Source organism: Homo sapiens, chromosome 7 (genome assembly GCF_000001405.40).
Source record: "Homo sapiens chromosome 7, GRCh38.p14 Primary Assembly".
Lineage (NCBI taxonomy): Eukaryota > Metazoa > Chordata > Mammalia > Primates > Hominidae > Homo > Homo sapiens.
Window position 1 is genome coordinate 67,585,835 of NC_000007.14, and position 15,205 is coordinate 67,601,039.

Sequence of the window (15,205 nt, forward strand, 5' to 3'; positions counted from 1 at the left end):
TGCTCAGGGAGACTGATTTGAATAGTGATAAAACTCTGATCTCCTGCACAGCTAGCTCTGTGTAAATTACTCTTTCTCTATTGCAATTCCCCTGTCTTGATAAACCAGCTTTGTCTAGGCAGCAGGCAAGGTGAACCCAATGGGCGGTTACAATTCTAGAGACAGGAAGTAGCATTGGCTGGACTTGGTACCTAGTGAGATGTGGGGTTGATGGAGAAGGAGGAGTTAAGGACTCTGGCTTGGGCAGTCAGATAGATTATGGGGCATCCCCAGAGACAGGGAAAAATGTTGACTCTAAGGGGATTTGGTGATATGGCTACCTGGTTTTGGAACTCAGCAGTGATCAGGGCTGGGGATGTGGAGTTGGGAGATGTCATCACTCAGGATTTGGGAAGGGTAAGTGCATAGAGTGAGAAGAGAGAGAGGTTGAGGAGTGGATACTGGGAAAAGGGCATTTGAGGTTGGGCAAAGGAAGAGGATGGAGAGAGAGAAAGAGAGTGGTGAAACTGAGGTGGGGTTGTCATGTCCCAGCAGTCAAGGAAGGAGAGGTGCAGAGAAGGAGGGAGAATCATCACTGCATACGACTTCTAGAAAGACAGAGAGAGAAGCATCTTTTGGATTTAGCAGTACATGGCCATTGGTGATTTGACAGGAATGATTTCAGTAAAGGGAAGGGAGATAGACTGAAGTGGATTTGGGAGTAGATAGAAAATTGGCAACTAGAGACACAGCACAGAGAATGTTTCTGCAATTTTGGCTCAGAAGAAAAAACTATAGGCTATGTAGTTGAAGGAAGAGACTGTAGGATGGGAGAGACTGGAAAGTCAAGTAGGATGGGCCATAAAGAATTTGGAAAGGGAGAGAACCCAGGAGAGGGGGGAGCAATTGGTAGAATGAGGGGGCTGTCAGAATCTCTGTGGGGGGTCATCCAGTGGTGTGGGGGCTGGGAGTTATGAGTTTGCAGCTCAGAAATGCTTTGATGAGTTTGATATATTTGCTCCCCCACCTCTGCCATTTTCCATTTCCATGTGGAATGCTGAGACTAGGCTGGGTGGCCAGGTTGGCTGGGGACTGGGAGCATTTGGCAGACTTTGCAGAGGAGGCTGGACAGAGGATCTTGTGCATGGGTTGGAGTGGCAGGTGTGGGTAGAGGGAGGTCAGGTGTAGTATGGGGTCAGGTGTAATATAGAGAGGTCAGATAGAGCTGGGGCAGATGCAGAGATCTGTGGAATAGGCTATAAGCTGGTAGTGAGTCTGAAGGTCAGGAGACTTCAAGCAGCATGTAGCATGCCAGGTCTCCAGGCATCATTGTAGGTTTTGTGAGTGCCTTGTCCATTGGGCCCAGCCAGGTGCTAAAAGTATAGGCAGCATAGCTGGGAGGATGCTGGGAAGATCTGGGCAGGAAGGTTGGAGGGCAGTGAAGGGCTTCAGTCTGAGAACTAGAAGTCAAGGGCTAAGTGGGGACCTTGAAGCAGATACCAGACCCATATATGGGGTGGTGGGGAGAAAGTGCGCTCTAAGGGCATGGAAAGCATACCCCATGCATACCAGATGCCAGGCCAGCAGTGAAATTGTGGCAACTACCTTCACCACAGAACACGAGCAACAGGTGTCCCTAGAACAATGAATAGCAAGGAGGATCTGACGAGAGGAGCCAAGGAGAGGCCCTGGCACTCCTTGTGTGGACCAAGCCACCTCTCAGAGATGCACTGATGGATGGTCCATGGTAGAGAGCCCCAACATGAACTCAACTGATGTTATGGCTCAGGTAGGCTTAAGAAGTCCCTGACAAAGTAGGATAAGCACAGCCTTGGGAGCCAAACAGATCTGGGTTCAAATCCTGACTACACATTCCTAGCTGTGTGACCTTGGAAATTTTTTAACTTGTCTGAGCCCATTCTTCTTATGTGTAGAATGAGAGAGCAAATCTCTACTGCCAGGGTCATTGTGAGAAATATATGAGAAGATGTTTTGGAAGACCTGATCATGGTGAATGGTTCATGATGGATTCTTAATAAATGATCCTTCCTTCCTTCCTTCCTTCCTTCCTTCCCTCCCTCCCTCCCTCTTTCCTTCCTTCCTGCTGAGAGGTGGAGATTTGTGCTAAGAACCAACAACATAGCTTTGGTTTGTACCAGGTCACATGGACCAAAGCAAGAGTTTGTTATAAGCCACCTAACAGTGTCAAGCACTGAAGTAAATTAGAGATGACAACAATTCTTTGAAACTTTTCCCATTAAGAGTTGGGGTCTGTGACACCTCCCCTTGTATCTGGGAAGGCTATGTGATTGGTTGAACAATGGAATATGTGGACGTAATGCTGTGCCAGTTTCCAGGCCCAGGTCTTAAGAGAATAGCAATTTTCATTCCTTGCTCTTGGAATACTTGGACTGTCCTGAGCCACCATGCTATGAGGAAGCTCAAGCAGCCACTATGCTATGAGGAAGCTGTGAGGCCCATGTGGAAAGGAACCAAGGCCCTCAGATGAAAGCCCTAGCTGAGCTACCAGTCAACAACCAGCACCATCTTGCCAGCCAAGTGAGTGCACCATCTTGAATCCTCCAGCCCCAGTGGAGCTGCTTCACCTTATGCTTCCTGGAACCAAGATGAGCCATCCCCTCTGAGCCCTGCCCACATTGAACATTAGTGAGCAAAGCAAGTGATTGTTGTTTAAAGCCTCTCTGTTTTGGAATAGTTTGTTATGGAGTAAAAGTTAACTAGAACAAGTGTACACAGTGGCACCAACAGTGAGCTAGACACCTGGAAGGTCACTGAAGAAGTAAACACAACCCATGATGGAAGTCAGTCACAGACATTGCTATCTGCCCAGTGTAGCTCTTCCTTTGTTTCAACTCAACCAGCCCATAGATCCCTCCTTCACTCGTAGGCCAAGTCTGTCTCTTTCAGCTTTGTTGGCAGATTGGTGCTATTAGGGAAGAGCTTTGGGCCTCTCTCAATCCCAGGCAGGGCCCATGGGCTCACAACAGACCAGAAGGGAGACAGATGGGATTCCTGGTAGCGGGAGCTGCCACTGGCACTTAGCTGAGGAGGGAGGAAACCTCGTCTGTGCTTCTCTTCCCTGGTACCAGGTAGCCCTGGTACCAGGTAGCAATTGTGCTCTTCTTATGATTAGAGGCACGGAGACTACCCCTGGGCTTTGACGTCCCTGTAAAGTGCTCCACAAGCACAGAGGAGCTGTTCATGGTGACAAAAACAGATGGCACTACCCAGATGGGAGGTTCTCACTGGAGGGGTCATATTACCTCCAAGAACGAGGGGCTGTAAACAATGCAGTGTCACTTCCCAACTACCAAATTAGTTGGAAAAAAAAAAAAAAGAATCAAGTGTTACTGTGAGCAGTGGGCGCTTGAGAAGGTGGCTTCAGTGACATGTCACTGGAAGCCTCGCATACTGCCTGTCTTGCGGAGCCCTGGCTGATGAGATGCACGAACATTATTAACGCCACTTTGCTGAAAATGCAGCACACTCAGACTAATGCCTTATGGCATTTGCTGCTTTCCTGGGGCTCCAAAGATGGAGAGAAAGTCCTGAAATAGCAACTCCAAGCTGGTCGTCAAGGCAACAGGATCCATTAGGGTGCATCGTCAGGTGCTGCGCTTGGCACTGTGAGGGGATGGGATAAAAGAAATTGCAAATGCACACCCTACCCTCCACGAGCCTACATTCTTCTTTGGGAGACAAGGCTTTGGTTTGTAAATCTATTCGGTCAGCATTTCCCTCCCTAAGGAGCAGGAGTACATGAGTACTGCAAAATATTAACTGGTGATAATATTTAAAAAAACAGAGTCATGGGGACAAGGACAAATGATTTTGCAGAGCATACTGGGCAAAACAAAATTAAAAATTGCTGGGCTTCTCGGAGTCTTTAATGAGCTCACATGCATTGTGATGTTCAAAAGGCAGATATTGTTGACTATGTTTCCCAGAATTATTTGACCATGGAAACTCTTGTTCACAGAGCATTTCAGGGGATTAGTAAACCACAGAATGGCTTGGGGGACCCTGAATTAGGAAGCAATACAAAGCCGCGTGTAATTAAGTTCTTAGGATGTGTGGAACAGTTTGGGAGCACAACAGAATTCAGAGCAGGGAGAGTCCGTGTTGGCTTCATGGTGGAGGAGTTGAGCTGAATCTTGCGTATTCTGAGTGGGTGTTGAGAGGGGAGAGTAGATTCCCTTGTGGGTGTGGATGGCCCTTCTCCTGGGACCGAGAGAGAGAGATCCCACTGTGCGAGTGATAGATCTCATTTGGTTCTGCCAAGAATCGAAAGAGGCATCACTTTTCATGTGCTTTTTCTGCTCTTGGAATGACTACTGTTTGCACAAACTAATGCTTTTGACAGCACATTCACTTATCACCTCCTCCCAGAAGCCCTCTCTGATGCCCTGAAATGAATGAACGCTTGTCCACTTTTTTACTTTTCTCTTTCTTTTCGTTTAAATGCTCAGCACTTAGATGCTACAATTGCCAATGTCATCCATCAGTCAATCCCTAATTACTTTTTTCGGCCTTTTTTTGGTGACTTTATACATATGTGTGTGTGTAAATGTGTGTGTGTGTCTGTGTGTGCAAATAACATTTGCCCTATTCACGAATTATTTTAATGTTTATACATTTATTTATTTATAGTATGGAAAAATAAAGCAACGTATTTTATTTTATTTTGTTTATTTATTTGTTTTCAACTTTTAGATTCTGTGGGTACATGTATAGGTTTGTTACAAAGGTATATTGTGGCTGAGGTTTAAAGTACGATTGAACACATCATCCAGGAAGTAAGCATAGTACCCAACAGGTAGTTTTTCAATAGTTGCTCCCTCCTTTCTCTCCCTACTCTTGTATTCCCCCGTATCTCTTGCTCCCATCTTTATGTCCTTGTGTACCCAATGTTTAGCTTCCACTTATAAGTGAGAATATGTTGTGTTTGGTTTTCTGTTTCTGCATTAATTCGGTTAAGATGATGGCCTCTAGCTGCATCTATGTTGTTGCAAAGAACATAATTTTGGTCTTTTTCATGGCTGCATAGTATTCCACTGTATCTATATAATATATATCATATTTTTTTATCCAATCCACTGTTGATGGGCATATCAAAAAGTTAACTTATCACAAGTAAATTAGGCCTTATTGCTTGGATGCAAGCATAGTTCAACATACAGAAATCGACAAATGTGATTCACCATATAAAGAGAATTAAGAACAAAAATCATATGATTATTTCAATAGATGCAGAAAAGATTATGATAAAATCCTATTAACTATTTGTAAGTGTAAAATTTAGTGACATTTATTACAATCACCATTGTACCTATCACTATTTTTTTTAACTTTTATTCAGTTCAGGGGTACAGGTGTAGGTTTGTTACATAGATAAACTTGTGTCGTGGGGGCTTGTAATACAGATTATTTCATTACTCAGGTATTAAGCCTAGTACCCATTAGTTATTTTCCTTGATTATCTCTCTCCTCCCATTCTCTGACTATCACCCTTATCTAGCTTTGAAATCTTTTAATCGCTCCAAATGAAACTCCACACCCGTTAAGGATAACTTTCCAGGCCAGGTGCTGTGGAATTATGCCTGTAATTCCAGCAGTTCAGGAGGCCGAGGGGGGCGGATCGCATGAGGTCAAGAGTTTGAGACCAGCCTGGCTAACATGGTGAAACCCCATCTCTACTAAAAATACAAAAAATTAGCTGGGTGTGGTGGCTCATGCCTATAGTCCCAGCTACTTGGGAGGAGAATCCTTGAACCTGGGAGATGGAGGTGAAAAAAGGATAACTTCCCATTCCTCTTATCCCAGGCTCTGGTAACTTTTTTTTTTTTTCTTTTCTGAGATGCAGTCTTGCTCTGTCACCCAGGCTGGAGTGCAATGACGCCTTCTCCGCTCACTGCAACCTCTGCCTCCTGGGTTCAAGTGATTCTCCCACCTCAGCCTCCCGAGTAGCTGGGACTACAAGTGCTCACCACCATGCCCGGCTAATTTTTGTATTTTTAATAGAGACAGGGTTTCACCATGTTGACCAGGCTGGTTTCAAACTCCTGGCTTCAAGTGATCCGCCCCCCTCAGCCTCCCAAATTGCTGAGATTATAGGGGTGAGCCACCGCGCCCGGCCCATGGTAACTTCTAATTTACTTTCTGTCTCTATGAATTTGCCTTTTCTAGATATTTCATTATGTGAACTTATACAACGTCTGTCCTTTTGTAACTGGCTTATCTTGTTTGGCATAATGTTTTCAAGGTTCGTACATGTTGAATCATAGTCTACTGTAGGGATATGTCACTTTTTGTTTATTCATTCATCTATTGGTGGCACCTGGGTTGTTTCTACCTTTTGGCTTTTGTTCCTAATGCTGCCATGAACATGGGTGTACACGTATCTCTCTGATCAACTTTTATGCATTGTCATTGCTTCTGTTACAGTGGTGACTATGCCATATCAAAACCTATTTGCTTGAATGCTAGATTTCCCTTCCGGAATGTGATCTTTTCGGCCAACAAATATTTGTCAAACAGCTATCATATACTTGGCATTATGGGTAGGGTGTTGTACAAGGCAGAACCCCTGTCCTTTGTGAACAAGCTTAGAATTGCTCTACCCACCTGATATGCTGACGTAGCTGTACATGATATGATCTGATGCCAGCTAGAATACAGTTAGAGCTGTAACCCCAAAAAATGTGCCATGAGAATTAGAATGGGGAGGCTAATCACAATTGTTTCTGAGATGCTCCAGTATTTTGCTGCTTGAGGAAGGTATGTTGCGGTTCTTAAAAGTGAGTCCCAAATATTAGTTTGTAATTGGAGATGTTGCCCTCTGTCTCTCTTGATTTGTCTGGGGCTCCCTCTGTCTCTCTGTCTTTCTGTTTCTCTCTCTGTCACACACACACACACACACACACACACACACACACACACACACACACACACACATCCTTCTTCTCTGAGTCCATAAATAACTTCCAGATAGGGAAGGTTATTGGACTTTGAAAAAGTTGTTTGATAATCTTCTCCTTGGTGTTCTTGGTGGCTTAGCTCAGCCCTGCATAAAAGCACTCACAGGGCTGGTATGTTCTCTTTAGAGTCTCTCAGCCGAGGCATTTATTTATAAGGAGACCACACTGGGGAGGCAGCTATGCAATTCTTCTATTTGAGAGCCAGCAATGATGTATTTAGCAATCGTCACCAATTGCTTATTTATTAAGAGACAATGTTCCAGAAAACTGGGTTGAGTCTATGCTTCCAAACTTGCTCACTGTGAGTCTTGGGCAATCTGCCTCTCTCAGCCTCGGGTTCCTCTTCTGTAAAATGGGAAATAACAAGGATGCCTACCTCGTTTCACAGGCTTAGCCCAGTGCCTTAATTAACACTGGATGTTATTACTGTGATTATCATTAGAGTGGTGCTTATCTATAAAATGGTGACATGCTAAATGCTAAGCACTAAACTCAAGTGGGGAAGAGATGCGTCTACAATGGACAGAGAGGTGGACTTAGGAATACCACCAGGGTTCCGACTGCAAAGATTCTGACTGCAAACATTCAGACTTGAGCAGGTGCCAGCTGGTCACCCAGAAGGTAGAAGGAGCATGCAGAAAAGTGCTTCAGGAGTCTAAAGTGGTGCCTGAATGCAGAGTAATAGTACCATTGTTTTAATTATTATTTTCTGTTGGGTGTGGTGGCCGGTGCCTGTAATTAGTCCCAGCACTTTGGGAGGCTGAGGCAGGAGGATCACTTGATCCCAGGAAGTCAAGGCTGCAGTGAGCCATGATGGTGCCACTGCACTCCAGACAGAGTGAGACCCTGTCTCAATAAACATTATTATTCTCCCCATCCCAACCTCATTGGGAGGATGGCAGGTGCAGCTCTCTAGAGCAGGTTAGAGGACTGTGCAATGCAGGGAAGCATTTCAGAGGCACTACTGAATCCCGCAAAGTGGATAACACTGGTGGACAAATAAAAAGTGATTGATGTCATTGACAACATGACTTTACAGACAGTGCTGTTGGAGCCTGAAGGGCTGTGATTATCTATGCCGTTTCCTGCAAGCCAATACCTAGTGCTGCTGCCCTGTAGGTGCATCGAGGAGCTGGAGCCATGTTTGTTACCATATCATGTTACAGACAGCAGCGTGGTCTGAGTCATTGGCTCCTGGAACGTGCACTTTGTTTGTACCTTCTCTCCCTGTAAGGATAGAGTGGATTTGCAAAGACCAGCATCCTTGCGTGACCCTATGCCTAGAGAAGCATGTCCCCCTCTTTCCTGCCTCCTTCTCGATTCTCCTGTTTCTCAAGCCATGTCCATAAACAGAGGAAGGGCTGAATGCTGTGCTGATTGCAGGAATATGGGGTGCCTCTGCCAGTCGGGGTCAAAGTGAGGCTAGCCCCAATCTGTCCTCTGCTAACCTCTCCTGCCTTATCACTAATGGAAGCTCCTTTTGCTCTCAGCACTCTGGTCTAACTGAATTGTTACCAGCAACTCCCCAAACTGCCATCCTATGTCATGTATCAATGCCTTTGAGCATTGATTGGTTGAGGCTGCCCTGAGCCCTTTCCCCAGGGCTGCTTCATGAATACCCGCTCTGCTTAAGGGATGCACGTTGTAGGGAGCTCTAATGGGTGAAACTGAACACCACTCTCCCCACTGGGTCCTTTCTGGGTCCTCACGAGGCTCTGTCTAGACAATGTGTTAGCATCCGTAATATATTATTGCTCTGATGTATTTAAACATCTGTCTTGTAATGCAAGCACTTTAAGAGGCCAACACACGAGGATTGTTTGATCCCAGGAGTTTGAAATCAGCCTGGGGAGCATGGCAAGACCCTGTCTCTACAAAAGCAAACAAACAAAAACTAGCCAGGTGTGGTGGTGCACAGCTGTAGTCCCAGCTACTTGTGGGGACTGAGGTGGGAGGATCGCTAGAGTGCAGAAGGTTGAGGCTGCAGTGAGCCGTGATTGTGCCACTACTCCAGCTTGGGGGCAGAGAAAGACTGTCTCAAACCAACCAACAAACAAACAAAAAGGTCTGTCTTCTTGTCCCCCTACTCCTCCCAAATTGAGCTACTGAGTTGCAGAGACCTTGTCTCATATGTTCTGTGTCCACTGTTCCTAGCTCTGTGCCTGTGTCCCCTATTCCTAGCTCTGTGTCTGTGTCCCCTATTCCTAGCCCTGTGTCTGTGTCCACTGTTCCTAGCTCTGTGTCTGTGTCCACTGTTCCTAGCTCTGTGCCTGTGTCCCCTATTCCTAGCTCTGTGTCTGTGTCCACTGTTCCTAGCTCTGTGCCTGTGTCCCCTATTCCTAGCCCTGTGTCTGTGTCCACTGTTCCTAGCTCTGTGCCTGTGTTTCCTATTCCTAGATCTGTGTCTGTGTCCACTGTTATTAGCTCTGTGCCTGTGTCCACTGTTTCTAGGTCAGTGCTTGGGACCCAGACATTTACCAAATGCTCACTTAGTAATGAGCAAATGAAAGAAATGATTGACGTGTGCTGTGCAGGATGCCAAGTCTTACATCTATTCATATCAACCCTCCTCTGCTCCATTACTATGTCCACTTTTGCTTGGTGAGGTGGAAGATGGGGTGATATCCTGAGAGAAGCATTAGACATTGAGAAGAAATGCTCCAAGGGATTGCATTGCTATTTTTCAGATTTGCCTGGGGCTGGCTTTGCTACAGGCTGGATAGATAGACTTGAGTTTTCTGTGCCAGGTGGAGGACTGGCTTTCCAGGGAGCGGGGCTCCACCTGCCGTGCTGGAGAGTCTTTCGAACACGTTTGTCTGCCTGATGGGTCTTTGCCTGTTGAAGTTCTGCCCATGTCCTCGGTGCAGTGCTGCCTGGCATTTGGAACCAACACTATAAACAACAGTTGGCCGTGAATCGGGGAAGCTGACTGGCTAACGATGAAATGCTCTCGAAAGGACGGTTTTGGTTGGGTTTGGGTCAATCAAGGGGAAGGTGGATAAGTCAAATTCTGTTTTGCCTGTGACTTGGCTCTGAGGTCAGGAGAGCCATCCTAGGCCAGTCTTTAGTCCAGATGAGAGGCAATCGTTGTTCTGGTTCCAAATCAGATTCAACTCGTGTTCTCTGATTGATGGTGAGATCGCTCCTGGGTGAGAGGCACAGTCACACGTTCTAGCTCATTGAACTCTTCCAGGAAACCTGTGAAACGCAGGGAGTTTCATTTCTATTTTACAGTTGAAGAAACTAAATTTGAGATGTGAAGTGATAGGACTGAGACCAGAATTGGATATTTTCACTCAAATTCTAGTACACTTTCTAGTGATATGCTTTGTGCACTATTTCTTTTTTTTTGTTTTTTCCAAATATCAGGTAGATTTTAGAGACTTCTAGGCTGAGCAGTTCTCTTGTTCCAACCATCAGCACTGTCTCTCTTGTGTATCTGAAATGGTCTGGGTCTCACTAGCCTATCAGTGAAGATGAAGGTGTATTCACAGGGGTGCAGAAACAATGCTACCTTCTCTCCCCAATCCATGAAACACCAACTCTGCAATTTGAACCTGCCCCTATTTCTAACAAGGTCTCTGTGCCTAAGAATGCACCCGTGTGTTTTCTGCTATCTCCCATTCCCAGTCTGCAGTCTGCTGTGCACAGGTCACCTATGAGAGGGGTCACTTCCAACCCTGTTGCTGGTGTCTTTCATGGCAGTCTGTTCTCATGGGGCTCTGCAGTTTTTCCTTGTGCTCTGCTGTTCTTGGAGCCCTCTCGAATCTGCGGGATGCTGAAGCCATACTGAGTTATTGTGGCATAGTAGGGGAGACATGGTCCCTCCTGGTGGTGCGCTGGAGCTGGTTTCTACTGAGGCAGGGCAGGTGAGCCCCCAAACTGGGGCTTATCCTGGGAGGGTCCTTGGCTTTGCCCAGGAAAGAATTCAAAGGCCAGCCGGTTGTGTTCGACTACAACTTTTATTGAAGCCGTGGTGCACAGCAGCAACAGAGATAACGCTCCTTGCAGAGCAGGGCTACCCCATAGGCAGTGTGCTTGGAGTAGTAGCTCAGAGGCAGTGCTGCACTCACACATTTATACCCCCTTTTAATTACATTCAAATGAAGGAGTGGATTATGCAGACATTTCTAGGGAAAGGGTGGTAACTTCTGGGTCATCAAGTCATTGCCATAGAAAGGGGCAGTAACTTCCAAGTGTTGCCATGGCAATGGAAAACTGACATGGCACATTGTGGGTACGTTTTATGGAAAGCTGCTTCCACCCCATCCCTGTTTTAGCTAGTCCTCAATATGGTCCAGTATCCAAGCCCTACCTCCTGAGTTGAGTCCTGCCTCCTACCTCACTACTGGCTTTTCAGAGTCAATTGTGTGCGTCTCATCCCATCTCTGAGGTTAATGACATCATGTGGATAGCTTGAAATTGACTATGATGGGAGTATTTACACCATGGAAAACAGGCAGCTGTTACCTATCAAGAACCCCTCTGCACCAGCCTGCTCCTGAAAATTTACACACCACTGCCTCCTCTCTGTCGCATTTTCTGCCCTAGGCCTGGGGTGTCTGGTGTCTCATGTAGCCTTCCATCAACCCCACTCCTTCAGCTGTGGGGCTCGGTTCAGTGCCTCTGGTTCTCTGCAGAGATGAGCAACATGTCAGCACTTCTATCTTTCTTCTCTTTCTTTCTCAGGCTCCATCCAGAAAAACAACTTGTACCACTAAGCTCCTTTATCCTCCTAATGTTAAAATATTCCCTGCCCCAAATAAAGCAAACAAAAACACAACACAATGAAGCAATGGTGCTGGTGTGTATTAACCTATTTGAATAGATACATGGGACAGGGGAGTTACTTTTATAAATCCTACCTCAGGACTAGCATTTTTTTTTTTTTTTTGTTTTTTTGTTTTTTTTTTTTTGAGATGTAGTCTTACTCTGTTGCCAGGCTGGAGTAGAGTGGCCCAATCTCAGCTCACTGCAACCTCTACCTCCTAGGTTCAAGCGATTCTCCTGCCTCAGCCTCCCGAGTACCTGGGATTATAGGTGCGTGCTGCCACGCCCAGCTAGTTTTTGTATTTTTGGTAGAGATGGGGTTTCACCATGTTGGCCAGGATGGTCTCGATCTCTTGACCTTGTGATCCACCAACCTTGGCCTCCCAAAATGCTGGGGTTACAGGTGTGAGCCACCGCACCCGGCCATGGGGGACTAGTCTTGACACCTAGTTAGATGTGTACATTTTTAACTTTGATTTCTCAAAAAATGCTCCAAAACCAAGGCACTTTGAGTGGAAGAGAAGGCACTGGGCCTCTAATCTTGAAGCTTGGGCTTCAGTTCTGACTCCTTCAGTGACCCACTCTGTGCCCATGAGTGTGTTAGTAAAGGGTGAACCAACTTACACATTGTGTGCCCCTGGGTTTATTAGTCAAGCCTGGGACAACTAACTCGCTGTGTGCTCTTGGGTTTGCTAGTCAAGTCCGGGGCAACTGGCCCACTGTGTGTCCTTGGATGTATTATTTAACAGCAGGCCAATTCATCTCCTGTGTGCTCTTAGGCTCTTAGGTGTATTAGTCAAGGGTAAACCAATTAATCCTCTGTGTGCCCTTGGGTTTACTAGTCAAGGGTGGGCCAACAGACCTACTGTGTGCCCTTGAGTATATTATTCAAGGGTGGGCCAATTGATCCACTGTGCCTTCTTGAGTGTATTAGTCAAGAGTGGATCAACTGACCCACTGTGTGCCCTTGGATGTATTAGTCAAGGGTGGGCCAATTGGCCTGCTGTGTGCCCTTAGATGTATTAGTCAAGAGTGGGTTAACTGTCCCACTGTATGTCCTTGGGTATATTAGACCCAGTGTGTGTCCTTGGGGACATTAGACCCACTGTGTGTTCTTGGGTATATTAGACCCACTGTGTGTTCTTGGGTATATTAGACCCACTGTGTATTCTTGGGTGTATTAGTCAAGAGCAGGCCAACTGACCCACTGTGTGCCCTTAGATATGTTAGTCAAGAGTGGGTCAACTGTCCCACTGTGTGTCCTTGAGTATATTAGACCCACTGTGTGTTACTGGGTGTCAAAAGTGGGCCAACTGACACACTGTGTGCCCTTGGATGTATTGCTCAAGGGCTAGCTTACTAACCCACAGCATGATCTTGGGTGTGTTAGAGTGGTTTAATTGCTAAAGCAACCCTCAACTTCAGTGGCGAACCTCAACATGTTTATTTCTCACTCATATGGCTGTCCATGCAGTTGGATGGGGAAATTGAGTGAGGACTGGGTGTGGAAAGGTTTGATGAACTAGCCTGGATATGACAGTCATTACTTTCTTTAATACTCCATTAACCAGAATTTGGTCACATGGCCAAACTGCAAGGCAGAAGTGTAAGGAAGGAAGAAGAGATTGGTGAGTAGCCACATCTCTGCTGTGCTGGGAAAGTCCTTTTCCTTCTAGATGCTTGATTCTATGGCTGAAACACAGAGGCTTTGATCTATGAGATCTGCAAGGCTTCTTCTTGCTCTCACAGTCCACGAGTTTCTTCTTTTATTATTGACAAACTAAATGAGCAGAGTTTTCAAAGCAGATTGGGTTTGCTTCTCATTCCTGGCTTGGATCCCCAATGTCTTTCATTGTGGGGTAGAGCCAACCCTTCACCAACGAGTCTGTTCAAAATGCTAATCAAAGTATTAGTGCCTGATCATCATCTTTCTCCAAACAATGCCCAGACCCACATCGCACTCCTTCTATGTCTTCTGAGAGTCCAAATTTTGAACCCATTTCATCAAGGCCAAATGTCAATCATAAGAAGAAATCTATATGAAATTTTAATTGCAAGATGTTCAGTGTAAATTTAATGAGTGAAATAAGAGATCTGAGAATTCCCGCATTCTCGGTTCATGCATAATGTTGACTTAAATTGGCTCTCTGGAGGTGGAGGGAATTGCATTTTTAGAATTTACACACCGAGAGAGCAAATGGAGTGGACCCTGAAGGTTAAGGTCCTAAATCAGAATCATTTAACTGGCTTTGAGTGATTGCTGTAGGCTGTAATGGCAAGGAGAGCTGGCTGCAGCCACAAGTGATTACTCTGCCTCAGATTATTGAAATGCTACTCAATATTCATAAATCAGTGGTCACTCATACCCCAAATAGTACCTGTCGGCTTTCTGAATAAATTTCCAACCTGCTAATGGAGATTGAAAGAGGCTGATGGGCGCTGGCTCAGAATTGAAACAGATGAGAGCGTTACTCGGACAGACCTGGAAACATCATGTCTTTTTGGAACATGAAGTCACTTTGGGGTAAAGATGTCCCAGCAGACATCTTTTCGCTCTTTGCAAAAGGGGGATTATTCAGGCAGTTTCTCCCAACCCTTGTCATTTCTGTAGAGAATAGCTTTGATGTTTATGTCTCAATCTCTGAAATTTTGCTTGGGACCAAATCAAATGAGTTAAAAGCTTCAATTCAATTGCTTGCACATCCCTGTTTACCCACAGTAATTGGAAAATAAATGCACGGTGCAGCGAAAGGCCATGACATTTATTGGATAGCATGAGAGCAAGCCGGGGAAGGAAATTGTAATTGGAGCGTCAGTCACCGGGGTAACAAATTTGGGAAGAAATAGAGAAATGAAAATGAGCGTGAACTCGTAGAGACATCAAACTGAAAAGCGATTTCATGACCACAGACACTTCAAGTCCATGTTCATTTTCCCTTTGCCTTGTTTCTGGGTTGGATTCATAAATTGTATATAATGGTGACCAGACGTCTGGGTGAGGACATCACATTGACTTGAGTAATAGGCACCACTCTGTAACTATTGCATTTGAAATCTGGCAGAAAATGATATTTGTGTGTGGATGTGAGGGAGACAAGCTGTATAGATTCGTCTCCTGCCTGGTTTCACCTTGAAAAAAGGAAACCAGATAAGGGAGGCTGAAAATAAATCCTGTTTTCAAGTGTAATCGCTCAAAATAATAGCATGGACTCTTTTGATCCCAGCTTTATTAGTCAAAGAGCGTAGAAACAAACATTGTAACTGCAAAACCACCCCCCTCTTCTTGGAAATTTAGGGACATAGAAGAAAGGGGACTCTGTCCAGGATGACAGAGCTAGAATTGAAATCCAGGCCAGCTGCCATGAAAAAGAGCAACAGTTCAAACCACATTCCCCAGGGAAACACTCTGTGCACAAAAGCAATTTGGTGACAGGTATGAAGAGTGTTAAAAACGTCCA

At 45.5% G+C, this 15,205-nt stretch overlaps 1 long non-coding RNA gene across 2 annotated transcripts in view; it reads right to left on the minus strand.

Annotated features, from left to right (window-relative positions):
* The window catches only part of LOC105375340 (uncharacterized), a 32,332-nt gene that overhangs the window by 14,053 nt on the left and 3,074 nt on the right, over positions 1 to 15,205 (minus strand). The window contains exon 3 of one of the 2 annotated variants that reach the window (XR_001745239.2): positions 10,046 to 10,175. The exons of the other annotated variant lie outside the window; for it this stretch is intronic. This is a non-coding gene — a long non-coding RNA (uncharacterized LOC105375340). Of the gene's footprint in view, positions 1 to 10,045; positions 10,176 to 15,205 lie in introns of those variants that run through there. 2 annotated transcript variants of the gene reach the window in all.